The following is a 24,994-nucleotide window of genomic DNA, read 5'->3' as shown; positions in this document are numbered from 1 at the left end:
ATTCTAGCTGCTTGACTTCCTGGCCCTATGCCATCCTGGCCCCATTTCTGACTCTTTGCTCTCAGCTCAGCCAGAATAAAGACAGGGACAAAAGGACAGAGAAATGACCAGGCAAAGAGACTGCATGAGGTCAGATCTTGAGAGCTCCTTTGACTGAATGTGAGCTAGAAGGAGATTGAGAGAAAGGTGAAATTGTAAGCAGGCTTTAGGGTGGAGGGGAGTGGTAATCAGCCAAGGTAGAGAATGATGGAGAGGTGGAATAAGGATGGGGAGAAGCTTATGTTGTTGAGGGAGTAGGCAATGTTGAGTAGGAAAGTATCATTGGGTCATTGCTGAGCGGTGGGAATTGAGGGCAGAAGACAGAAGGACTTTGAGTAATCATGGCATCCAGAAATTTCTCTTCGGGTCCTTCTGTCTCTGTTTCAGATTTTGTCTTGGCCACTTCAGCCACTTTGTCTCTTTGAATTCTCCCCCTTCAATAACTCGCGCGCGGGCGCGCGCGCGCATGTGTGTGTGTGTGTGTGTGTGTCTCCAATACAATCCCTGACTTACAATGGTTCAACCTACAATTTTTCTTTTTCTTTTTCTTTTTTTTTTTTTGAGACGGAGTCCTGCTCTGTCACCAGGCTGGAGTGCAGTGGCACAATCTTGGCTCACCGCAACCTCCGCCTCCTGGGTTCAAGTGATTCTCCTGCCTCAGCCTCCTGAGTAGCTGGGACTATAGGCACGCACCACCAAGCCCAGCTAATTTTTTGAGTTTTTAGTAGAGACGGGGTTTCACCATGTTGGCCAGGATGGTCTCGATCTCTTGACCTCATGATCCGCCCACCTCAGCCTCCCAAAGTGCTGGGATTACAGGTGTGAGCCACCATGCCCAACCCAACTTATAATTTTTAAACTACAGTGATGCAAAAATGATAGCGTGTTCGGTAGGACCCATACTTGAATTTTAAATTTTGATATTTTCTAGGGCTAGCGACTGGTATATTAAATGCATTTTCAACTTATATGTTCAGTTTGCAATGGGCTTATCAGGACATAACCCCATCATAAAAGTCAAGGAGCATTTGTATATTTTTCTGTCTTTAAGTTTCCATTTTTCTCACTGTGCCTTGAGATCTGTCTCTCACTGTTTCGACTTTTGTGTTTTTCTCTCTGGGTTACTGCCCTTTTTTTCCTGCTGACCAGAGCCAGCCATCTGACTTTCCTGCAAGGAGCTTTAGAACTTTCCAGAAGTGGCCAGACTTCTTCCCTTTGGCTGCTTTCTAGAACTATAGCACCAGTTTGGGGTCCCCGGGCACAGTCATAAGGTCTCAATTTTTGATGAAGACCTGAGTGAGCTTCAATACATAGGGCCTTTTCAGGGAGTAGAATTTCCCCACAGTGGGGTCTTAGTGTCAAAATAAAGATATTTGTCCCTTAACCCATACTGTGGTCCTGGATTTCATGGTAGTGTGTTCATGGAAACTTGCGAAGTTCATGGGTTGAGAGCAAGGAGGATGGGGCTCTGCACACAACTGGACCTACCGAGAAACGGGACCTGAACATGTCTTGCATTTAGCTGCCTCCTCCCCTGGATGGCACACTCCAGCTTTAGGGCCCTCGAGGAACAAGCAAATTCAGCCCCCTGATCTCCAAGGGTTGTTAGGCAACCAAGAAATGTGGTTATCATTAAAGGATGGGGCTGGGGGCTGGGTATTGGGGAATCGGTGGGCCTGCAGGATAGGCAAAGAACAACATAGCACATGGCAATGTTTTGATGTAATTTTCTAGAAAACAGGAGGCCACCATCCTAATATTGAGCATAGTGAAGTTCCATCAGGAGGGGAGTAAAGGTGTTTTCTAGGGGAAGAAAAGCTGCTGGAGCCCCTGTGTTCTGTATGGGGGTATGCCCATACCTCCCGGGATGGAGCAGGGGTGATCCTAGGGAGGAGCAGGAGGAGTGACTTTGAAGCCTTGGTCCTGGGGGGTGAGATCAAGGCCCATATTGGTAATCTTTCACCACGTCATCAGCTCCCCAACACCTTTCTGTACAAACTGCGGAAAGTTTGCAATGAGCAGATCAGGAATAGCTTATCACAGAGACAAAGCTGTACAGAAATGGATCACAAATATTTTATCCACTCTCATGCTTCCAACTAGTTCCACTCTGATTTATTTTTCACCCTCCTCTCTCCCTAAGCACAAGGGACTCTCCCCCAGCCTCTGACTCTTCTCTGACCTGGGACTTCACTGCAGGCAGACAGGATATTACTCACCAAGGAGCTCTCTCATCTACTCCTACCCCCAACTCATCCTCCTGCACCCCACTCTCACTCCCACCCCTTCCAACCTGGGCCCACTCCTTCCCTCCCCCACTCAATCTGACCCTCACTCTCACTCTTCTTCTCCCCCACACCACCCCACCCATCCTTGTCCCTCTCTGACTCACCTCAAGTCCCATTGACACAAACAAAAATTTCAGCACAACCCACTCCAACCGGTTTGGCTGAGGCGTGCAGCCTGTCATGGGGACAGAGACAGGTATAAGCGGATGCTTGGATGCATGCAGATCATGAAGAACATCCGCTGCTGTGCATACAGAGACAGTCCCACATATGTGCATAGCATGTATGTGTACAGAGATACGTAGGGAACACATGATGGTGGGATATAGCATGTTACAGTTGTTTCTGTGTCTGCCTCTCCTGATTGAAGGCTCCTTGAGGGCAGGGACTATGTGTTATGTGTCTCGGTCTCCTCCCTTGAGCCTGACACATAGTGGCACTCATTTAATGTCTGTTGAAGGAATGCATGGGTGCAGGCGCGCACGCAGCAATGTCACTCAGACAAACACACATGATAAAGACACTATCATGGCTTGAATTGTTCTCATTCTTAGCGACCACAATGTGGGTAGGAGGAGGGTAGGAGTGAGGCATGTGGGGAATGGGAATTCAATATGGAAGGGAGAACCGAACCAGGATACCAGGCATTGGTCTTGAAAATCTTCCTCATCCAATATTTCCTTCCAGTCTCAATCCTAGAATATGCCTTCCCCAGCCTTCATCCTAGGAGAGGGTAGGAAAGGCCTAAGTTTGAGGGCATATTCTCCAAAAGCATGGCTCTTGTGAGACATACAGGGCTGAGGGGAAGGAGGGGACAGAGGGACTTGAGATAGGTATTTGTGAAATGAGGAGAGAGATCCCTAACTCTGTCAAAGGCCTGGAGTGGGCTGCTGGACTCTAGTGCTCCCTCTCAGGCCCTGTGGTGCCCTTAGCCTACTTCAAGGCTGCATCATACCCATGAAAAAATGAGTATAGCCATACCCTAACTCCACCTCTGGACAGTTCTGCCTCCTTTCCATGCTCCGTATGGCTAGAGTTCAGGGTGAGTGATTAAGGGGCCCAACCAGGGGTTCAGAGACATCCTGACTGGTAGCACTTTCACGGGGTATACTGTGAATGGATAGGCTGAAGGAGATTGGATATCCATCTTGTGAACTAACTGCTTTTCCACTCCTGTGCCTCAGTTTCTCCTGTGGCTTCCTGTACCTGGAGGGGTGAATCCGTGGGAAGGAAAGCAGCTCCTCCGAAAGCATGCGATAGGATCCAAGGTGTGATAATTATAATTATAACACAGGATGCTCCCCCTCCCATTCCCGCTGGCCCTACTCCACCCCTGCCACAGAGGATCTCAAAGCAGCATCTGGGTGGGGCTGTTCCCCTGGCACAGGTGGGGACCTGAAAAAGAGAAGGGGTTGGAGGTGGAGAGAAACTGGGGAATTCTGGCAACCGGCCTGGCCTTTAAGGGCCTCTGACCTGCAGGAAATAGCCCCTGAAGAAGAGGTCACTGCCGTGGTCATTTGGCATCTAGAGCCAGAGTTGGGGTCATAGTCCAGTGACAGGAGTAAAGTCCAGGTCACAACCCTAGTTCAGGATAGTAACTCACAGCCAGTCGGGATCTCTGCTTTACTGATCCGACTTCACCATCCTTTTCATCCGGACAACTCATTTATTCAGAAATTCATGGCTTCACCAAAATGTAGTCAGTTCCCATGAAATGCTGTGGCCTGTCCTAGCATGGAAGACTGAGACAAGATTATAAAACAAGCCCAACTTTCAAGGAGTTCACAGGCTACAACTCTTGTCCTGTCCCGCAATTTAATACATTTACTGAATTCCTGGCACACAGCAGGCCTCAATCGATGTTTTTTTGACTTGAAGCTTACAATTTAGTTAAGGAGATAAGATGTGCACAAATTATGAGCACATAAGCTATAATAAAAGGACTAGCAAAGGCTGAGGAAGAATAGAAGAAAGATTAATTTGGGGTGGGAGGAGCAGAGAAGGCTTCACGAAGATGTGGCATTTGAGGTCAGCTTTGAAAGATGAATAAGAGTTTGACAGGTAGAGTTGGTGGGGATGGTGGTGGTAGAAAATCTACACAGAACAACTCTTCCTTATGGCTTCTTTATTCCTCCTTTCTGCCTTCTCCAGATGGAAGGGTCCTATGGCAAAACTTTAACCTATATTTTTTTCTTCTCCCACGTCTATCTCTGTATTTACCTGGTTTTTGTATTAGCCCTAGACTGCAAGTGATGTTGTCCCTCCCGTTCACTAAATTTTCAGTGGGCTCAGAATATGCCCTCTTCCTCTGGCTATCCCAGGGAGGCCAGGAAGGTTTTGTGTAATTTGGCGGTCACTTTTTATGCATTCAGAATGGAAACACATGGTCTGACAAGGATGTACTTATAGGAATACAGGGCTAGAGTACTTGAAATTAAGATTCTCCTTGCAAAGTCCAGACATGTGGTCTTGTCCAATGACCTTGGAGTAAACTGGGTAAAATGGCCATGGAGAGGGTAGAGAGGAACCTCTCTCCATTCAAGTTGTGCTGCTGCGCTTTTGGGACTCCTGGCCAGGTAACAAGGTGTTGAAGCTGAGAGAGGGCCCTGATAGGGAAACCAGGAACCCCTACGGCTAATTCCTTGGCCACTTCCTTGGCCTCTTATATATGGAGGTGGAGTTAGAGGAGTTACGTAAGTTCTTTCTCAGGGGTCTTTGAACTACTTCCCTACTTCAGGGATAGAGGTGTCTGAGCAAACCATGAGACTAAGTTGTGTGTCCTCTGGCAAGTCCCTCCCCTTCTCTGGGCCTTGGTTTTCTCTTCTGAAGAATGAAGTATACAGCGCAGCACTGACAGACTCCTTCCTCCTCAGTTCTGGCCTTCTCCGATTCTGTGGCTCCAAAGCTGAGACCCTCCAGGAGATCCGGGAACTTGTCAAGGCCCCCAGGAGGTACCAAGGCTAGCTGGGGTGTGGGACGCTTGGGTTCCTTTCTACCCACAAGGGCCTTGCCCCTTTCATCCTGGCCTGGCCTGGTGCCCTGGGCCTCCCTTAGTCCCCACCCTTGCCTCTCCCTTCATAGCCCCTTCCACATACTCGCAGGTAAAGCCTGGAGCTGAGGATGGGACCCCACCGCCCCCACCCAGGTCCTTCCCTCCTTCCCTCCCTCCCTGGCGCCTATTAGCTAGCCCAGGCCATGGGGGCGGTGGCTGCTGAGTCTCCGTGCCAGGCCCAGCCCCCAGAGACGCACCTGTTCTGACCTGCTGAGCAGGTTCCCAGGTTTCTGCCGTCGTTGTTGGCCACAGCGTGGGAAGCAGCTCTGGGGGAGCTCGGAGCTCCCGATCACGGCTTCTTGGGGGTAGCTACGGCTGGGTGTGTAGAACGGGGCCGGGGCTGGGGCTGGGTCCCCTAGTGGAGACCCAAGTGCGAGAGGCAAGAACTCTGCAGCTTCCTGCCTTCTGGGTCAGTTCCTTATTCAAGTCTGCAGCCGGCTCCCAGGGAGATCTCGGTGGAACTTCAGAAACGCTGGGCAGTCTGCCTTTCAACCATGCCCCTGTCCCTGGGAGCCGAGATGTGGGGGCCTGAGGCCTGGCTGCTGCTGCTGCTACTGCTGGCATCATTTACAGGTAGGACTTGCCTGAACCATCAGGACACTTGCTTCTGAGCCCAACCTGGCACTGACACACATGCACAAACACATAGACACACACGCACGCACACACATATCCTCCTTTCTTTGACTCTGAACTGAGGATCCAGTCTCTCCTGCCCCCAGCTTCCAGCAGTGCCCCCAGAAAAGCCAGTATAGCCCTCCCCCTTCTTGTTTCCTCCCAGCCCCCAGGCCAGGTCACTATGTCTGGGATCCCTGACACCTCTGCCAAAGCCTTGCCTAGGCCTGAGCTGTCTTGGGGAATAGACGTGGTGACCCAGTGTAGATGGGCAGGCAGGTGGGACTTGTGAGGATCCTGTTCACCCCAGGGTTTCCTAGAGGTGCCTTGGCCTACCCCCTGGGCTCTGGAACGGCTGCCTGGAACTGGGGCTGACTCAGAGCTCAGCTGGTTTCTGCAGTCATCAGGGTGCAGGAAGCCTGATGCCCAGAGAGTGGATGGGGGATTTCTATTTCCTTCTTTTCTCTCCATGATGTTCTAGAGCACCAGGACTGGGGCACCTGTTGGGGACTATAGGAGAGCTGAGAATGCCCGTCACTCTGACCCCTTCCTTTCCCTGGGCACAATATTAGGTGCCAGGGTGGTAATAAGGGGGTTTAGATGGATGGGGGTCTAAGGAAGGGAACCTTCTAGATAGGGTGTGGTCCCCATTTGTTCATCTCCTGTTCCCCCATTTTCTTAACTAGATGCCTTGTATTACTTCTCACCTCCTGTCTGTCTAATGCATATAGAGCAAATATGAATTATAGGAATGTATAATCTTCAGAGTAGAGGAGAGTGTGTGTGCGTGTGTGTGCACAGTGAGACCTCAGTGGGATTCCATAGGGTGTTCCTAGGGTAATGAGTAACAGAAATATTTCTCCTTCAAAAGATAGGGCCTGATCTGGACAGGACAGTTTGATTCTCAGGCCCAGGAGCAGTAGCAAGGGAGCCTCTGTTGCCCAGCAAGATCTGGCAGTGATTCCCCTACCTCCATCTCCAGCCAAAGCTTTGAGGAGGGAAATAAGGCCTAGATGTGTGGATTGGTGGAGGTATGGGCTGCTCCAACTCTGATTTTATTATAGGTCATGGGCCCAGCCTCCAGTCGTAGGATACTGAGCTCCTACCCCTGCCATCCCCTCACAGTCCCCTACCACCTGTGTTTTAATTCCCATCTTCCAGATAATCCTTCTCACTTGTTTAGGCCAAAAAGGTGGAGCCTAGTTGCTGGAGTTGGGGAACCAGCAGTCACTTTCCTGTGGGATCTACCCACACTTAAAGAGTGGAGTCATGCCATCTCAGGACTTGGAAGAGATCAAAGAGATCACCACTCCAACTCTCTCATTTTACAGATGAAAAAACTGAGAGAGATAGGCAAGTGAGATCTGCAAGATTACTCAACGTTAGGAGTAGACACACACGCACACACACAAACATCTCTTTCCTATGACTCTGAACTGAGGAGCCAATCTCTCTCTCCCACCCCCAGCTTCCAGCAGTACCCCCAGAAGAGCCAGTGTAGCCCTTCCCTTTCATGTTCCCTCCCAGCCCCCAGGCCCGGTCACTATGGCTGGAATCCCTGATTACCTCTGCTCAGTGTTAGAAGCATAACCAGGGTTAGTGTCTTGGTGTTCTCACTCTAAGTTCATTGAAGAATAGTACATTTGAGTGCACACTGGGTACAACCTGGATACTAGATGCTGGAGATGCAATGGTGACTGCATCACATGGTTCTTGCCTTTCTTTTCCATGATGGCAAAACTGTTCTTACTAAGAGAAGCCCAGGGAAGGGGACAGGAGACCCCCTTCTAGTTAGACCTCATGCAATGCCTGGCAGTAAGGGAGGAAGCCTGGCTCCAGATTGCCCCAGGAAGCTGGCACCTGGTAGGAGGCCACTCTGCTGCTGCTGCAGCAGCTACAACCTGCACAGAGCTGAGGTTGCTCTGGGGGCTGGAGGCTCCTAGCCTGAGGATCAGATGGTCCTACCTCCACTACCACCCCCATTCTGGCTCTTCTGTGTGTAGACTCTCCTTAATGGCTCCCAGGAACCTGGAATGTTTCATGTCTCTGAAAAAATCCTTGGACTGGGAAGTCAGGAGTCTTGGTCCAGATCCCGTTTCTGCTATTAATCTATTTGGTAACCTTGGGCAGCGATGAAACCAGACTTCAGTAGACCGAGAGCTAGGACCAGATGATCTCTATTGACCTTCCAGCTCTGAAATACGATGACTCTGTGATGGTCCAGGCCTGGCTGAAGTGGGGTGCTGGGGTGTTGGAAGGGTCACTGGGTCTGGCTGTGGAGATAGGAGGAGGAAAGCGTTCTGGTCGCATCTCTCAGAGGGTACCAGAGTACCTTTCCCCAGGCCTTCCTGGCCCTACTGCAAATTCACCCCCCACCCAAATCCTGGGCCATTAGAGCTCTGAGCCCCAGGGCCCTGCCCCACCCCTGACAGGGAAAGGAGCCCAGGCTTGGGAGGCGCCTCAGCACCACAGCTCTTTGTCTCTCCTTAATGGGTTGAGTTTCCGGGTGAAGTCTCCTCCCTTCTCCCTCCCCCATCTCTTGCCCTGGGGCTGAGGGACCCAAATCCACGAGACACCCCTCCCCCCATTAGGATCCTAGTCCCTAGCTCTTTGTCGGGTTCAGGAGCCCTGCAGGACCAAAGGGCAAGTGGTGCTCTGCATTCTGAGGTCTGCCTTCTGGGGGTTAGGATCAGCTTTCTGTCTGAGGTTAATTTCCTTGAAAGGGAGGGGCCCATCCTTACTTTTCTACTCCTGTTTACAGAGGGGGGCAGGCCCTTTCCTGTAGGACCTACCCAAACCCAGGGAAGCCAGCAAGGGAGGTGGTGAGAACTGGGAGAATCCCAGGGAAGCCCTGTGACCCCAGTGACCTTGTTCCCACCCTAGTGTTTAAGGAGGCCGGGCCAAGGAGAGCCTAGCTACAGAGATGAGGAGGTTAGAGTTCATGATTCCATCAGCCAGACCAGAGCCTCAGGATCTGGGGGTCCTCTAGGCAAAGTGAATGGGGATTAGCTACTTTGGGGCCCAGTGAGGAGAGAATGATTGGATGTTCTAGCCTCCAAAAACTTGCCCTTGCTCTGACCGAAGTCTAGGCAGAGAGAAGGGATGGAGGTGATGTGGGGAACGAAGTCAGAAGGGAAGGGAGTAGAGAAGCCTAGGGTCTTAATTTGGGAAGAGAATCTAAATGAGGAGGGGGCCAGGCGTGGTGGCTCACGCCTATAATCCCAGCACTTTGGGAGGCCAAGGCAGGTGAATCCCTTGAGGCCAGGAGTTTGAGACCAGCCTGGGCAACACGGCAAAATCCCGTCTCTACAAAAAATACAAAAGTTAGCCAGGCATGGTAGTATACCTGTGGTCCCAGCTACTTGGGAGGATTGCCTGAATCCAAGGAGACTGAAGTTGCAGTGAGCCATGATCGCGCCACTACACTCTAGCCTGGGTGACAGAGTGAGACTCTGTGTCAAAAAAAAAAAAAAAAAAAGAGGAGGCGAAGTTCAGAACTGGGGAGACATCTGCCATGCCTCCTAAAGGAAGGCCGTGGAGAAGGCGGCTGAGGTCACTCTTTCACTGGAACAGGCAGCCTCTGGCCTCAGGAGATTTTCTCATAGTTTTCTGGCCACCCCCACCCCCTTCCCTCTAAATCTGGTGTGTCCTGAGAGCTGGAGTTGAGGCTGTGATTTGGGATGGGGCAGAGCTGGCCATGGTGGGTGGAGGGGCAGTGTGGAGCAGGGGTTAGGATCTCAGGAGTTTGGGAGAAGCTGAATCCTGGTTCTCCCACCCACAGTGTGGCTGTTGTGGTGACTCAGCCAGGCTCAGACTCTGGCTCCGGGGGGTTTAGGGGACTTATCTGTGCTGGGAGCTGTGTCTGGGCCAGAGTGGGGCTGCCTCAAGGCCTGTCCTCCCCATTGTTCTCATCTCCCTTTGTGATTGTGTGGCCCCCCTCCCCAGACACTAATCTGTGGGTGGGCGTTTTGCCCAGGCTGGGAAGCTCTCACTAAGCTGGGGGGCTTAGTACAATGGGGGGTAAGTGAGGGAGGTGGATGAAGGCGGAGAGGGAATCTTCTGGTTTTTAAAGTTCCTTAGCACTCCAAGGCCAAGGTTATGGGGCAAAGAGTGGATGGAAAGGGGTTTGCTGGGTTGTTTGTGTCACCTGTCCTGGATGGTGAGCTTCGGTGCGTCCCTCCTAGGTCCTTTCTCACCCCAGACTCACCCACATACTCCAGCTCTCGGTGGAGATTGTTGCTGTCAGGTAAGGGGAGGCAGGAGTTAACAAAGGAGCATGAGACCCTAGACAGCCTGGACCCCTCCCCCTAGCCCCAGGCAGGATTCCCCTCACCCCCCCAAACCCACACCAGACAACCCTTACCCAGGCCTGGAGCCAGAGCTGGTTTTTCTGGTGGTGGCAGCAGCAGAGCCCTGACAGAGATTCCCAGGGAGAGGCCTCCTTGGGGGGCCAGAGCTGCTGAGGGGCCCAGGGGAGTGGCTGGGGGTAGTGGTGAGAAGGTTGGCAGTCCTTTTAGTAGGAACCTGAGGAGCAAGGGGAGAGGGAACATTTGTTTTGTTCTGCTGGGGAGTCCTTAATGGCAAGTTCCCATCACCTGGAGGGACAGTGACCTCATCTCTGGGTACTTCCACCTTGAGCCTGAGATTAATATGTCTTCAAGTCTTGGGGTAAGGTGGGGAAGGATGCTGGGGGTGACATTCCAGGCAGGATGCAGAGGCAAAGGCTCACAGCCACATACCACAGACCAAGGGCAGCTGAGACAGAGAGACATGTGGAAGCCAAGATAAACCGACAGCAAAATATTTACTATGTGTGCAGAGTTCCGCGAGACAAGAATGCACTCCATGCATACAGAGGGTGTGACATGCACACGGAATCATGTGTGCACACACATTCACACATACTGATACACAGCTCTTCCCTCTGGACACAGACAAGTAAGTACGTATATGCCCCTAAGATAAGACATGAACACATATATGTGCCAAACACCCACCAGTTTATGCAAGAAGATAGCCTCACATGCGTTTGAACCAGCACTAAGATTGGCCAGGCCCTCAGCCACAGCTCCCCATACACAAAAAACTCATACTTACTCCCTTCCTCCTTCTCACAGACCCACCTCTACGATCCCCTACATTCACATCTGTAAGTCCCAGCAGGGGATACTGATGGAGAAAGGCCCCTCATAAAGAAAAGATACTTCCTTAAAGATGCTCTTGATGGCTGGGTGTCAGCAAGTGCCAGCCTCAGTTTCCCCTCCTGAGATCAGAGGCCAGGCTCACATAGGAAGGAAAGTTGAGACCCAGGCATAGGGTGGGGAAGAGCCAGCCAGCCCAAACCTGGAATGGAGGGCCTGTCTGGGAGCGGGCGGGGTACACAAAGGGCTGGGCTCCAAAGAGGCCCGTGGGGGCCTGGCCAGGGTGGGGGAGGCCAAGGGCAGGGATCCCGTCTGGCCAGTTGGGCCTGTTCTCTCCCTTGCGCAAGGTGGTGGTGGCTGTGGCTAGGCTTGCTGCTGTGAGGCAGCTTCTGAGTCACCAAGGCTCCTGACCAGCGTCCTGGTACTCCAGGGAGGAGGGGTGGGAGGGTCAGAGGGAGGAGTGTCTAACCAGCCGGAGTCCACCAGCCTCAGTAAACAATTTGCAACAGAAGGGTCCCTGGGCTTGGCCTGGCCTGGCCACCACATGCCCTCAAGGTGACCTCACCAGGCAGGCAATGTGTCTCCTTTGGTCTGATGACATCATCATGCTGACGCCAGGCTGACACTGGGTGGAGGAGAGAAGGAGGAGGCAGTCCTGGCCTGCCCTGGCCTGGAAACCTGGACTTCTGGGTCTGTTTAGACAAGGACAGGGATTCTAGGGCCCAAATTCTATTTTCTCTTCTCTTGTACCCTAGGGTGGTAGGGGGGTATGCAGCTGGAGGAGGGTGTTGCCTCAGGCTGAGATGTTCCTACTAAGTAGTGGATTTAGAACAATGAGGATCTGTGGGAGATATCCAGAAGGGAATTTCCTGTTTTACTGGGTTCCTCGGTCTGTGAAGCTTCAGTGTGTCCCCTAGGGGTGGGGATCGTGGACTCACAGGTGAGAACATGGAGGATTGACATTCAGGCATGCGCTGGGTATCTAATGCCTGCTGTACCCTAAGAAGGTATTTTCCAAGGGAAATATAGGTGATTAGTGGTGGGGAGGCAGCAGGTGGTTGGCTAGTATAGGAATAGGGATGGAAAATATGCCATCTGATATTGTCTCAGAAATAGTCTTTAGAAAGGTTTGAGTGTCCTAATGGGGCAGGTCTTGGGATCCCTGTGACCTTCACAGACACCAGCGTTTGAAGCAGAGGATATGTTGTGCTGGAGATCCCCTACCCAAGCTCACTCACAGCCCTTCCTTGGCAGCCCTGTTCTTTCCAGTGCCAGGAGGAGAAAAAGCCTGGGAGGGGTGCGGGTGGTTAGCTGGACTCCCAGGCTGGGCTGGGTGGGACCAACATTAGCTTAGGCAGGTCAGGGCTCTGGTATCTGGCCCTGCAGGTCTATCCTGTCCCATCTGGGCCCTCTCAGCATCCTTCTTCCCTCTCCTTCTGGTAGCAGGGCCACAGGAACCCCTTCCTGTGCTCTATGTGCTGCCTCACTAAAACTCTCTGATCCATTCTGGTGGGGCTTCATTTCCTCCCTCCATGCCTGCCTCCTTCCATCCCTATTTTTTTCCTCTGTCCAGTCTGGAGGTGCTCCCTTTGGCAGTGAACCCAATTAGCTAGCCCAGCCTATCCTGCCTCCACCCCAAGGTTACCATGTAATGTTCCTCCCTGGCCAGCCCAATGCTTGTTCCTCCTCATTTTTTTTGGTGGCGGGGGGATGGTGTCTTGCTTTGTTGCCCAAGCTGGAGGTCAGTGGCATGATCTTAGCTCACTGCAACCTCCACCTCCTGGGTTCACCAGTTCTCCTACCTCAGCCTCCCGAGTAGCTGGGACTACAGGCGCCCGCCACCACGCCCATCTAATTTTTTTATTTTTAGTAGAGACAGGGTTTCACCATTTTGGCCAGGCTGGTCTCAAACTCCTGACCTCAGGTGATCTGCCTGCCTCAGCTTCCCAAAGTGCTGGGATTAGGGTGTGAGCCACTGTGCCCAGCCTGTTCCTCCTCATTCTACACTTTCCTTCTGTCTCTCTCATTTATTAATTCACCTGTTCATTCATTCACTTGGTCAATAAATGTTGACGGAACCCACATACCACTGAGCACTAAATCAGAAACAATGGTTCCAATGGTGATGTGAGGCCCAGAAAATAGGGATAAAGTGCTGTGATGGGAATGAAAGCAGGGTGCTGGGGAGCACAGAGGAAGGGCACCTAATGCTGCCTGGGGTGGGGGTGGGAGGAGGGAGGACTCCTGCTGGAAATGATGTCTAAGCGGAGTCTTAAATGATGAGTAGGTGCTACCAGATATAGGGAGGAGGGCATTCCAGGCAGCGGGTACGGTGTGAGCAGAGGTGAGGAACAACAAGGTGTGTGGCTTGCTGGGCAGAGGCAGGGACAACACACTGTTGGGGGTTGCTGGGGCACGCGTTCCAAGGCAAGGAGCTCCTGCCATCCCAGCATGTTCCTTTGCTCTGCCCCCAGGCCCCAATCCCCATATTTCACTTTTGATTCCATGACTCCAAATTTATTTCTTCCCAAAAATGAACATCCTCAGGCCCTGTCTCCCTCATAAGTTACTCATCCTAGAAATTTAGGAGCTGCCTTTGAGTCTTTCCTCTCCTTCATCTCTCTTTCTGGTCAGTGACCAAATCCCTGTCAAATCTCCCCCCAGAACTGTCCCCTCCTCTCCACCCTAGCACTACTGCACCCAGGCTGCAGCTGCAGCCTTCAGTGACTGCCCCTCACCACTTGCTCATGGCACTCCCTGGCTAAGGAACCTTTAGTGACTCCCCATTTCCTCTTGACCAAGTATGAATTCCTTTGCTGGTATGGAAGTTCCCCGGTGATTTGGCCCCACCCTGTCCCAACCATATTTTCCACTCCTGCTCAACACACACACCCTGTCTTAGGCTGGGTCCTCTCCTCTTTGCTTCCTAAACAAGCCACCTTCTCCATCTCCTTGGTGTTTGCTCACCGTGGTTCCTGATTTAGAATGCCTTTCTAGGCCTCTCTCCCTCCTAATCCTACCCAACTCATGCATGGGGCCCTCCCAAATGATTCAGTCCCATAGTGATTGCCCCATCCCACAGTTGGCCTGTAACACACCCCTGAGCACTAAATCAGAAACCATCATCACATGTTTCCATATGTGTCTCCATATGTATCTCTTGCTCCTGAGCAGAACTCAAGTCCCATGAGAGCAGGGAGTGGATCCTTATTTGCAGATAAGGTGACATGATGGATAGCTCTGATTCCAGAATCCCTGAGGGCTTCATTAATATGCTAAATACTAGCCCTTTGTACTAGCCCTTTGTCCCTTGTCCTCCGATTCCAGCTTACAATTCTGACCCGGTTGTTGTGTGTCTGCCCTGATCTCATCTCTCTGGGCCTCTGACCTGGGCCCTTTCTGTCTTTAGTGGCTTGCTCATTCCTGCCTCTGAGCCTTGGTTCATGCCTTTCCTCCCACATGGAACATTTCCTGCGCTATAGGAATCCAGGTCTCTCATCTTCAAGCCATGAAAAGAATGTTCCAAAGGGCCTACTGAATAGACCCTTCCTACCCTATGTGCCCCATTCCAGACACCAACAGTTTTGGATTCTTGCCGTGGCTCCCGGCCACACTTTCTGAAACTATCCACTTTTTCCCGGTTGGTGGGTTGAACCTCTTCTGAAAGTTTGTTCATGGCTTTCCCTGTTTCTTTGTGCATAAATTCTATTTTCCCTGATGACTGTGAGCTCCCTGAGGGCAGAGGCTGGGTCTCCTGTTCTGTTACAGCCTCCCACCTTGCAACTGCTCAGGATACAATCCTAGGCTGCAAGAGGGTGTGAGCCTTCCATAAATCGTCTGTGTGGCCTTAGGCAAGCCACTTCCTCTCTCTGGGTCTCAGTTTCCTCATCTGTTAAACGGTGATAATAACGCCTACCTCTTGGGAAGGCGTTTTGTAGATTTAATAAGGTAATGAACTGAATGTGCTTTGCAAGCCCAAATGCTCCAGGAGTTCCGGTCACCTTTGCTGTCATTATCATTATGACTGTGCTCCCCCAGCTCTGGCAGCACCCCTAATGGTGGCTGTCCCTCTCTGCCCCCTGCAGGCCGGTGCCCCGCGGGTGAGCTGGAGACCTCAGACGTGGTAACTGTGGTGCTGGGCCAGGACGCAAAACTGCCCTGCTTCTACCGAGGGGACTCCGGCGAGCAAGTGGGGCAAGTGGCATGGGCTCGGGTGGACGCGGGCGAAGGCGCCCAGGAACTAGCGCTACTGCACTCCAAATACGGGCTTCATGTGAGCCCGGCTTACGAGGGCCGCGTGGAGCAGCCGCCGCCCCCACGCAACCCCCTGGACGGCTCAGTGCTCCTGCGCAACGCAGTGCAGGCGGATGAGGGCGAGTACGAGTGCCGGGTCAGCACCTTCCCCGCCGGCAGCTTCCAGGCGCGGCTGCGGCTCCGAGTGCTGGGTAAGCGGGGATCTCTGGGTACGGTCTGAGCCGCTGTGGATGCAGGGGGAAGCAGAGATGGGGACTGCAGAGATGGATGGGGCAGAGGTAGAACAGGAATAAAAAGTGGGGTCATGTTCAGGTGAGGGAGCTTCATCCAGCTAGCTATCCTCGCACCCAATCCAGAAATTCTCTCCAAGTAACCCCAAAAGCTGGGGAAGAATCCATTTATTAGGAAGTTCTTCCTTCCGACGACATGAAACTCCCTCTGTTACTTTTGCCCTGTGGCAATATGGCACTGGCTTATTCTCTTTTCTGCACAACAACCTTTCCAAAAGCAGAGGCCCTTTGTCGTGCCCCACCCAAATCTACTCTTCTCCAAGCTAAACTTACTGGTTCCTGACACAGTTCCACCAAAGACAATTTCAAAGCCTCTCTCACCATCCTGTGCTCCATGGTATTTTTTACAATGTGGGTCCTGAATGTGAACACAGGCCCAGCAATGGTGTGGCCATACACGATCAGAGGAGCTAATACCTTCCTTGATATGGACCTTCAGTGAATGTGGTCTGAGATCACAATCGCTTTTTTTATTTTTTGAGACAGAGTCTCGCTCTGTCGCCCAGGCTGGAGTGCATTGGCGCGATCTCGGCTCACTGCAAGCTCCGCCTCCCGGGTTCACGCCATTCTCCTGCCTCAGCCTCCCGAGTAGCTGGGTCTACAGGCGCCCACCACCACGCCCAGTTAATTTTTGTGTATTTTTAGTAGAGACAAGGTTTCACCGTGTTAGCCAGGATGGTCTCGATCTCCTGACCTCGTGATCCGCTCGTCTTGGCCTCCCAAAGTGCTGGGATTACAGGCGTGAGCCACCGCGCCCAGCCACAATCACTTTTTAAACCATCACTTTATATTGTGGGCACTTGTGGTGAACTCTGGACTTACGGTCAAGTTAAGTCTTTTCCATTCTGTGTTAATATTTTGAAGGTAAAAATAAAGGTTTTTGGCTGGGTGAGGTGGCTCATGCCCTGTAATCCCAGCACTTTGGGAGGCTGAGGTGGGCAGACCACCTGAGGTCAGGAGTTCGAGACCAGCCTGGCCAACATGGTGAAACCCCATCTCTACTAAAAATACAAAAATCAGCTGGGTGTGGTGGTGCGCACCTGTAATCCCAGCTACTCAGGAGGCTGAGGCAGGAGAATTGCTTGAACCCAGGAGGCGGAGATTGCAGTGAGCCGAGATCATGCCACTGCACTCCAGCCTGGGCAACAGACGGAGACTCAGTCTCACAAGTAGATAAATAAATAAATAAATAAATAAATACATAAAATAAAGGTTTTTATAGTTTCCCTTTATTCACATATAAGTTAATAACATCAGCCTTGGAGTAAAAATAAAAACCCAAGTGTAAATCTAGGCTTTGTCACCTAATAGCTGATGACTTGGGATAGTCACTTAACTTCCTTGTGCTTTGGTTTCCTCATCTGGAAAATAGAGATAATAATACCTAACTCACTGTTTGTTGACAGAATTTGAGATAACATTTATAAGGTATTTAGCATAATAGTTGACACATAGTAAATGCTTACTAGATGGTGGTTATTATTATTAGGTAGATGATATCTGGTTAGTTTTTTAATTACTTCATTATTTTATTTTTTAAAATAACCTACGTTCATTGTAAAAAATTCGCACAGTAGAGAAGGATACAAAGTCACCTGAATTTCTACCATTCATCTGCGTCTCCATGAAATAAGAGAAGGAAAGGGGGCCTGAAAGTTTGTACTTGTGCAAGACTGAAATGCGATGAGTGGGGGCCTCCTGACAGGGATTGTGTAGACCTGTGACCCCTGCCTTTCCCCATTTGCAGTGCCTCCCCTGCCCTCACTGAATCCTGGTCCAGCACTAGAAGAGGGCCAGGGCCTGACCCTGGCAGCCTCCTGCACAGCTGAGGGCAGCCCAGCCCCCAGCGTGACCTGGGACACGGAGGTCAAAGGCACAACGTCCAGCCGTTCCTTCAAGCACTCCCGCTCTGCTGCCGTCACCTCAGAGTTCCACTTGGTGCCTAGCCGCAGCATGAATGGGCAGCCACTGACTTGTGTGGTGTCCCATCCTGGCCTGCTCCAGGACCAAAGGATCACCCACATCCTCCACGTGTCCTGTAAGTACTTGGATGCTTGGGTAGGGAGGCCCAAGGGGTTCTCAGCAGATTGGTGAGATGCCACAGGTCCCTGAGCCATGCCAGGCTGGCCAGCCTGGGTCCTGGAGGCTATATATAGTATGTGACAGAGCACTAGTCCAAATGTGGAAGACCTGGAGCCCGATCCCAGAGGATAGACCTCTCTGAGCTTCTGTGTCCTTATCTTTACAAAGGAGATTGCCTTGTTTCACAGGGTTGTTGGGAGAATCAATTAGAAACATGGAATTGAAAGCACTTTCTAAAATATTAGTTTAGGATTTGGAAATAGATAAACTTAGACAAGCCCTAGTTCTACTTACCAGCTGTTATTCATTCTTGTTAGGCTTCATTTTCTTCATCAGCAAAATGGGTATAATTATATATAACTCATACCAACTTTAGAGGGTTTTGATGGGAATTAGAAACTATGAATGCAGAGCAACTCACACAGTGCTTAGCGCATGGAAGGCGCTTGGTAAATGGTAGATATTGTTTTCCCAGTGCTAGATTTCAAGCCTCTGGAGGGGATAAGACTGTCAGCATTTGGCTCAAAGCAGGTCCTCAACAAATGTTTGTTGAAGAAATGAATGAACTAGTAGGATTGTTACACCTTTGAAAAATCAGGCAACATTTATTCAGCACCTGTTCTATGACTAGCACTATGCTAGGCAACACAGGACATCCAGAAAATGTGTGATGGATCACTACCTTGAGGGACTTATGGTCTCATTGTACAGGTAAACCAATACAGACTCTCTGAGCTTAGAGAGGGGAGGGAACAGTGTGGCCAGGAGCTGTCAGCAGGGTGGGGCTGAGCTAGGTTTGGCAGCAGATGAGTAGGATGGAGAAGGGCAAGGGGAGGGTGTTTCAGGCAGGGTGGGGTGGGGGCAGGGCCCTTTGAGGTACCACATGATCAAAGGCATCATTCCCATTCTTTCTCCTCCCACTTCCCATTCCAGTCCTTGCTGAGGCCTCTGTGAGGGGCCTTGAAGACCAAAATCTGTGGCACATTGGCAGAGAAGGAGCTATGCTCAAGTGCCTGAGTGAAGGGCAGCCCCCTCCCTCATACAACTGGACACGGTAAGGGCCCGAGCCTGAGGAAGGCCTAACTTGAGACTAGGTTCCTCCCCTCTCAGGGCCAGGATATACCACTATGGAATGGGACAACATATTCTGAGCCCCCAAATAAATTGGGGTATGTGTTCAGATCTCTTGTATTATTATACTCATCATACAAGAATATGTATGGTCACCAAATATTATTGGCTTGCCCAGGGAATCTAAGATACATGGTCATTAGTAGGGAATAAATGGATAAGCCCTTAAATTTTTTGTCTTTTATTTTATTTATTTTAGTTTTGAGACGGAGTCTTGCTCTGTCGCCAGGCTGGAGTGCAGTGGCATGATCTCGGCTCACTGAAACCTCCGCCTCCTGGGTTCAAGCAGTTCTCCTGCCTCAGCCTCCTGAGTAGCTGGGATTACAGGTGCGCGCCACCAACCCCAGCTAATTTTTGTATTTTTAGTAGAGATGGGGTTTTACCATGTTGGCCAGGCTGGTCTCGATCTCTAGACCTTGTGATCTGCCCACGTTGGCCTTCCAAAGTACTGTGATTACAGGCGTGAGCCACCACGCCCAGCCCTTGTCTTTTATTTTTATTTTTTTGAGATGGAGTTTCACTCTGTTGCCCAGGCTGGAGTGCAGTGGTGCGATCTTGGCTCACTGCAACCTCTGCCTGCCAGGTTCAAGAGATTCTCCTGCCTCAGCCTCCCAAGTAGCTGGGATTACAGGTGTGTGCCAGCATGCCCAGCTAGTTTTTTGTATTTTTAGTAGAGATGGGCTTTCACCATGTTGACCACGCTGGTCTCGAACTGCTGACCTCGGGTGATCCGCCAGCCTCGGCCTCCCAAAGTGCTGGAATTATAGGCGTGAGCCACCATGCCCGGCCTTGTCTAACTTTTAAATTGTGAAATATAACACAATATTTCGATATTAATATTTTATATATTTATGTGAGTGCATAAAATGGACAAGACAGCTGTGTCTTTTTCTAATTGTTGTTAAGCCAACACTCCTATAACCACCACAATATTGCTAGCACCTCAAAAACACCCACTACCTCCAGTTCCCTCAAGGCATCCTTGGCCTTTTTCCAAGATCTGAAATATCTAGAGAGTCAGGGAGAGGTTGGGTACACATGTGTGTGAGCACATCATGGGCATGTTCTCACATGTGAGCATATGAGCGATGCATGTGGCCTTGTGCCTGGGGCTATGTTTGTGTATCCTGCCATGCAACATCACGGGTGTTGGAGCAGGCAGTCACATTTTCCAATTACCTCTACACCCAGCTAGGAGTGGAGTGTCCTGTTGTGTGGACTTTATAACATGTGTACCTGGTACCCAGTGTTGGATGACGTGATGCCTGTGGAAGCATGTGGGATGGCACACGTGTGGATCTTCCCCGGGTGTGTGTGGGGGGTGCCCAGGTCAGGCTGGGCAGCAGGGAGAAAGGACCTCTGCCTAGACCTGCCTGGTGGAGGGAGGGGCACCGTGGGAACAGCCTGCGGCTCTGGGTGACGTCATGGGGGTGGAGGGTGGAGAGCTGTCTGGACACGTTGGGTGGTGGTGGCTTCAGCCCTTCCCGGCTGGCACCCTTCAGCTTCCCTGTCTTCCAGGCTGGATGGGCCTCTGCCCAGTGGGGTACGAGTGGATGGGGACACTTTGGGCTTTCCCCCACTGACCACTGAGCACAGCGGCATCTACGTCTGCCATGTCAGCAATGAGTTCTCCTCAAGGGATTCTCAGGTCACTGTGGATGTTCTTGGTAAGCACTGGAGCAGAAGTCCTTGGTAAGGACCTGGGCCAAGGGCTTGGTGGGGGCAGCAGGAAGCAAGACAGAGACAGTGAATTGGGAAAGTGTTTATTCAGAGGGGGCTGGGCTGTGTGTCTTGCAGAGAATCAAACTGAGGTGTGGTTTTAGATGTTTTGCGGGGGAGCTGTGAGGTCTGGGGTGGGTTGTGGCTGCAGGCTTCCACCTCAGACAGTGGCCTGTCTCCAGCAGACCCCCAGGAAGACTCTGGGAAGCAGGTGGACCTAGTGTCAGCCTCGGTGGTGGTGGTGGGTGTGATCGCCGCACTCTTGTTCTGCCTTCTGGTGGTGGTGGTGGTGCTCATGTCCCGATACCATCGGCGCAAGGCCCAGCAGATGACCCAGAAATAGTGAGTACTGGGCACTCCTGGGTGGGTAGAACTAAGCTGAGAACAAAGAAGAGGATAGCAGGAGGTGGGCCAGGACCGAGGAGACTGGGTAGGCTGAAAACTGAGGAGTTTCAGACTAGAGGTGGGCAGGGTGTTTCTAGGGCTGAGGAGGAGCTAAGGGTCTGGAGCACAGATGGAGCACTCAATCCTTCCACCTTAGTGAGGCTCAGATCCATGTGCCTGGATGTTGCCAAGTATGCACACGCACACAGCACACACATGCTCTTCAGCCTCACTGCCACCTGCAGCCACACACTCACACTTGCAGGGCCAGCACGGCACCCACACCCTCCGGGCCTGTCTCACTAGGCTCAGCCAGGATAGGCTCACCTTGGGAGGCTGCCACTACCCTCAGCTCCTGACAAGGGTGTGTCTTTCCCAGTGAGGAGGAGCTGACCCTGACCAGGGAGAACTCCATCCGGAGGCTGCATTCCCATCACACGGACCCCAGGAGCCAGGTGTGTGCCAAGGTTGGGTGTATGCATGCAGGGGTGTGGTCGCATTGGGGTCTGCTTGTGCCTGGGCCCCTCTGCAGACCAGGAGCACAGCTCTCTGCTGGGTCAGCCACTGACTCACAGCTGGGGTTGGCCGGGGTAGAGTTGAGAGGGTGTAGCTGCTTTGGGTCTGCTAGGGCTGCTCCAGAAGGCCCCCTTCAGCATTGGCCTAGGGCCTTTTCTGGGAAGCCACCATCAGTTCTGCTTCCAGGGTGGGTTTGTGGTCGCAGTGGGGAAATGAGGATGTTTGTTTCCAGGAGAGAATGGACCTGTTGGGTTGGGGGACAGGCAAGTAGGGAGGAGGCTGGTGGAGGACAAGAGGGGAAGAGGCTGAGGGGAGGAGGCTGAGCCCTGTTCTAACTGCCCCGTGTCTGGGCCCTGCAGCCGGAGGAGAGTGTAGGGCTGAGAGCCGAGGGCCACCCTGATAGTCTCAAGGACAACAGTAGCTGCTCTGTGATGGTGAGGCCCCCGGCCCCACCGGTGTCCCCACCACTCTCCTCGGGCCCCTGTCCTGGTCCCAGATATGGTGCGTCAGCAGCCCCCTTACCAGTCCCTCTTTCCTTAGCCCTGGCTCATGCAGCCCAGCACCGCATCTCTGCTACGTCTTTGTTCTCCCGTCTCCCTCTCCCCATGCCTAACACTTGTTCCTGGTCCCCGATCTCTGGGCCCCTATGCTTCTGAGGCAACCGTTACCCCTGCTTACGCCTGGCCTCTGATCCCACCATGACCCAGCCATGCCCCACCATGTGCAGCTGCCCTGCCTTTGTTCCTGACTTGCCCTTTGCCCTTGGTCTCCAGAGTGAAGAGCCCGAGGGCCGCAGTTACTCCACGCTGACCACGGTGAGGGAGATAGAAACACAGACTGAACTGCTGTCTCCAGGCTCTGGGCGGGCCGAGGAGGAGGAAGATCAGGATGAAGGCATCAAACAGGCCATGAACCATTTTGTTCAGGAGAATGGGACCCTACGGGCCAAGCCCACGGGCAATGGCATCTACATCAATGGGCGGGGACACCTGGTCTGACCCAGGCCTGCCTCCCTTCCCTAGGCCTGGCTCCTTCTGTTGACATGGGAGATTTTAGCTCATCTTGGGGGCCTCCTTAAACACCCCCATTTCTTGCGGAAGATGCTCCCCATCCCACTGACTGCTTGACCTTTACCTCCAACCCTTCTGTTCATCGGGAGGGCTCCACCAATTGAGTCTCTCCCACCATGCATGCAGGTCACTGTGTGTGTGCATGTGTGCCTGTGTGAGTGTTGACTGACTGTGTGTGTGTGGAGGGGTGACTGTCCGTGGAGGGGTGACTGTGTCCGTGGTGTGTATTATGCTGTCATATCAGAGTCAAGTGAACTGTGGTGTATGTGCCACGGGATTTGAGTGGTTGCGTGGGCAACACTGTCAGGGTTTGGCGTGTGTGTCATGTGGCTGTGTGTGACCTCTGCCTGAAAAAGCAGGTATTTTCTCAGACCCCAGAGCAGTATTAATGATGCAGAGGTTGGAGGAGAGAGGTGGAGACTGTGGCTCAGACCCAGGTGTGCGGGCATAGCTGGAGCTGGAATCTGCCTCCGGTGTGAGGGAACCTGTCTCCTACCACTTCGGAGCCATGGGGGCAAGTGTGAAGCAGCCAGTCCCTGGGTCAGCCAGAGGCTTGAACTGTTACAGAAGCCCTCTGCCCTCTGGTGGCCTCTGGGCCTGCTGCATGTACATATTTTCTGTAAATATACATGCGCCGGGAGCTTCTTGCAGGAATACTGCTCCGAATCACTTTTAATTTTTTTCTTTTTTTTTTCTTGCCCTTTCCATTAGTTGTATTTTTTATTTATTTTTATTTTTATTTTTTTTTAGAGATGGAGTCTCACTATGTTGCTCAGGCTGGCCTTGAACTCCTGGGCTCAAGCAATCCTCCTGCCTCAGCCTCCCTAGTAGCTGGGACTTTAAGTGTACACCACTGTGCCTGCTTTGAATCCTTTACGAAGAGAAAAAAAAAATTAAAGAAAGCCTTTAGATTTATCCAATGTTTACTACTGGGATTGCTTAAAGTGAGGCCCCTCCAACACCAGGGGGTTAATTCCTGTGATTGTGAAAGGGGCTACTTCCAAGGCATCTTCATGCAGGCAGCCCCTTGGGAGGGCACCTGAGAGCTGGTAGAGTCTGAAATTAGGGATGTGAGCCTCGTGGTTACTGAGTAAGGTAAAATTGCATCCACCATTGTTTGTGATACCTTAGGGAATTGCTTGGACCTGGTGACAAGGGCTCCTGTTCAATAGTGGTGTTGGGGAGAGAGAGAGCAGTGATTATAGACCGAGAGAGTAGGAGTTGAGGTGAGGTGAAGGAGGTGCTGGGGGTGAGAATGTCGCCTTTCCCCCTGGGTTTTGGATCACTAATTCAAGGCTCTTCTGGATGTTTCTCTGGGTTGGGGCTGGAGTTCAATGAGGTTTATTTTTAGCTGGCCCACCCAGATACACTCAGCCAGAATACCTAGATTTAGTACCCAAACTCTTCTTAGTCTGAAATCTGCTGGATTTCTGGCCTAAGGGAGAGGCTCCCATCCTTCGTTCCCCAGCCAGCCTAGGACTTCGAATGTGGAGCCTGAAGATCTAAGATCCTAACATGTACATTTTATGTAAATATGTGCATATTTGTACATAAAATGATATTCTGTTTTTAAATAAACAGACAAAACTTGTTCTGTCTGGCTCCTGTCTTGCCCCTTGAACTGTGTAAGCTCTGAGTCACATACTCTCTGTCTCGGTACCATCCTTCCTGTAGTCCCAAGTAGGGGAAGACTTAGGATGCCTGTAGCTGGGAGGGAAGGGAAAGAATTGGCCTCCACAAGGCCTTTGGCCATCTCTGAGAGTCCCCTGGTAGGAAAGTGAAGCTAAGAACCCTTTCGAGGATGGCCAGTACCTTAGTTTGCAAAGTGTTTTAAATTCCTTTTTTTTTTTTTTTTGAGATGAAGTCTCACTTTGTCACCCAGGCTGGAGTGCAGTGGCACTATCTCAGCTCACTGCAACCTCCGACTCCCAGGTTCAAGCGATTCTCTCACCTCAGCCTCCCGTATAGCTGGGATTACAGGCACCCGTCACCATGCTCAGTTAGTTTTTGTATTTTTAGTAGAGACAGGGTTTCACCATGTTGGCCAAGCTGGTCTCGAACTCCTGACCTCAGGTGATTCACCCGCCTCAGCCTCCCAAAGTGCTGGGATTACAGGCGTGAGCCACTGCGCCCAGCCTGAATTCCTTATTGTACTGGAGACTCAACAACAGCTATGTGAAATAGGCAGCAGTGTACCCTTTTTTACAGGTAAAGAAACTGAAACTCAAGTTAAATGAGTTTTACAGACTCTTAGAGGTGGGAGGATTTAAAGGTCCTCTAGTCTGCTCCCTTCATTTTCCTAGGTTTGGAAACTGAGGCTCAGTGAAGTAATGCGATTTGACTGAGGTGCTAGATCCATCAGAGGCAGAACCCAGGCATCCTCCCTTGTGAGTGTGCTTTTTACAGCCCTGTG

The 24,994-nt window shown here is 51.6% G+C and overlaps 1 protein-coding gene and 1 long non-coding RNA gene across 7 annotated transcripts, besides 3 other annotated features; one reads left to right on the top strand and one right to left on the bottom strand.

Moving 5' to 3' along the window:
- Positions 2,295-2,394: an enhancer, noted in NCBI's record as "active region_1975". NCBI's record gives its function as "activates an Ori minimal core promoter by ATAC-STARR-seq in GM12878 lymphoblastoid cells {active_cell/tissue: GM12878}" and the evidence as "EXISTENCE:reporter gene assay evidence [ECO:0000049][PMID:35858748]".
- Positions 4,438-11,344, bottom strand: NECTIN4-AS1 (NECTIN4 antisense RNA 1). Of its 2 annotated transcripts, NR_183641.1 has the most exons (4): positions 11,092-11,344; positions 10,358-10,518; positions 10,142-10,233; positions 4,438-8,267 (listed from the first exon to the last, which is right to left on the bottom strand). It is a non-coding gene; the product is annotated as an NECTIN4 antisense RNA 1 (long non-coding RNA). The 2 variants fall into 2 exon arrangements; NR_183640.1 differs by having other exon boundaries at positions 10,358-11,344.
- NECTIN4 (nectin cell adhesion molecule 4) lies at positions 5,612-24,172 on the top strand. 5 transcript variants are annotated; one of them, NM_030916.3, is made up of 9 exons: positions 5,612-5,952; positions 15,221-15,580; positions 17,427-17,717; positions 18,695-18,815; positions 20,411-20,559; positions 20,797-20,953; positions 21,375-21,450; positions 21,871-21,945; positions 22,285-24,172. In NM_030916.3, the coding sequence occupies exons 1-9, from the start codon at positions 5,874-5,876 to the stop codon at positions 22,507-22,509; spliced, it is 1,533 nt and encodes a 510-aa protein (NP_112178.2). In that variant the 5' UTR covers positions 5,612-5,873; the 3' UTR covers positions 22,510-24,172. The 5 variants fall into 5 exon arrangements, with proteins under 5 accessions (NP_112178.2, XP_047287244.1, XP_011508323.1 ...); XM_047431288.1 differs by having other exon boundaries at positions 21,871-22,012; XM_011510021.3 differs by having other exon boundaries at positions 20,794-20,953.
- Positions 19,741-20,417: an enhancer, noted in NCBI's record as "H3K27ac-H3K4me1 hESC enhancer chr1:161044543-161045219 (GRCh37/hg19 assembly coordinates)". NCBI's record gives its function as "activates a minimal SCP1, AML or CMV promoter by ChIP-STARR-seq in naive H9 embryonic stem cells {active_cell/tissue: H9 hESC(naive)}" and the evidence as "EXISTENCE:reporter gene assay evidence [ECO:0000049][PMID:30033119]".
- Positions 23,200-23,249: an enhancer, noted in NCBI's record as "active region_1974". NCBI's record gives its function as "activates an Ori minimal core promoter by ATAC-STARR-seq in GM12878 lymphoblastoid cells {active_cell/tissue: GM12878}" and the evidence as "EXISTENCE:reporter gene assay evidence [ECO:0000049][PMID:35858748]".

The sequence above is a fragment of the Homo sapiens genome, chromosome 1 (assembly GCF_000001405.40).
Source record: "Homo sapiens chromosome 1, GRCh38.p14 Primary Assembly".
NCBI lineage: Eukaryota > Metazoa > Chordata > Mammalia > Primates > Hominidae > Homo > Homo sapiens.
This window is presented reverse-complemented; position numbering and strand designations above follow the sequence as displayed.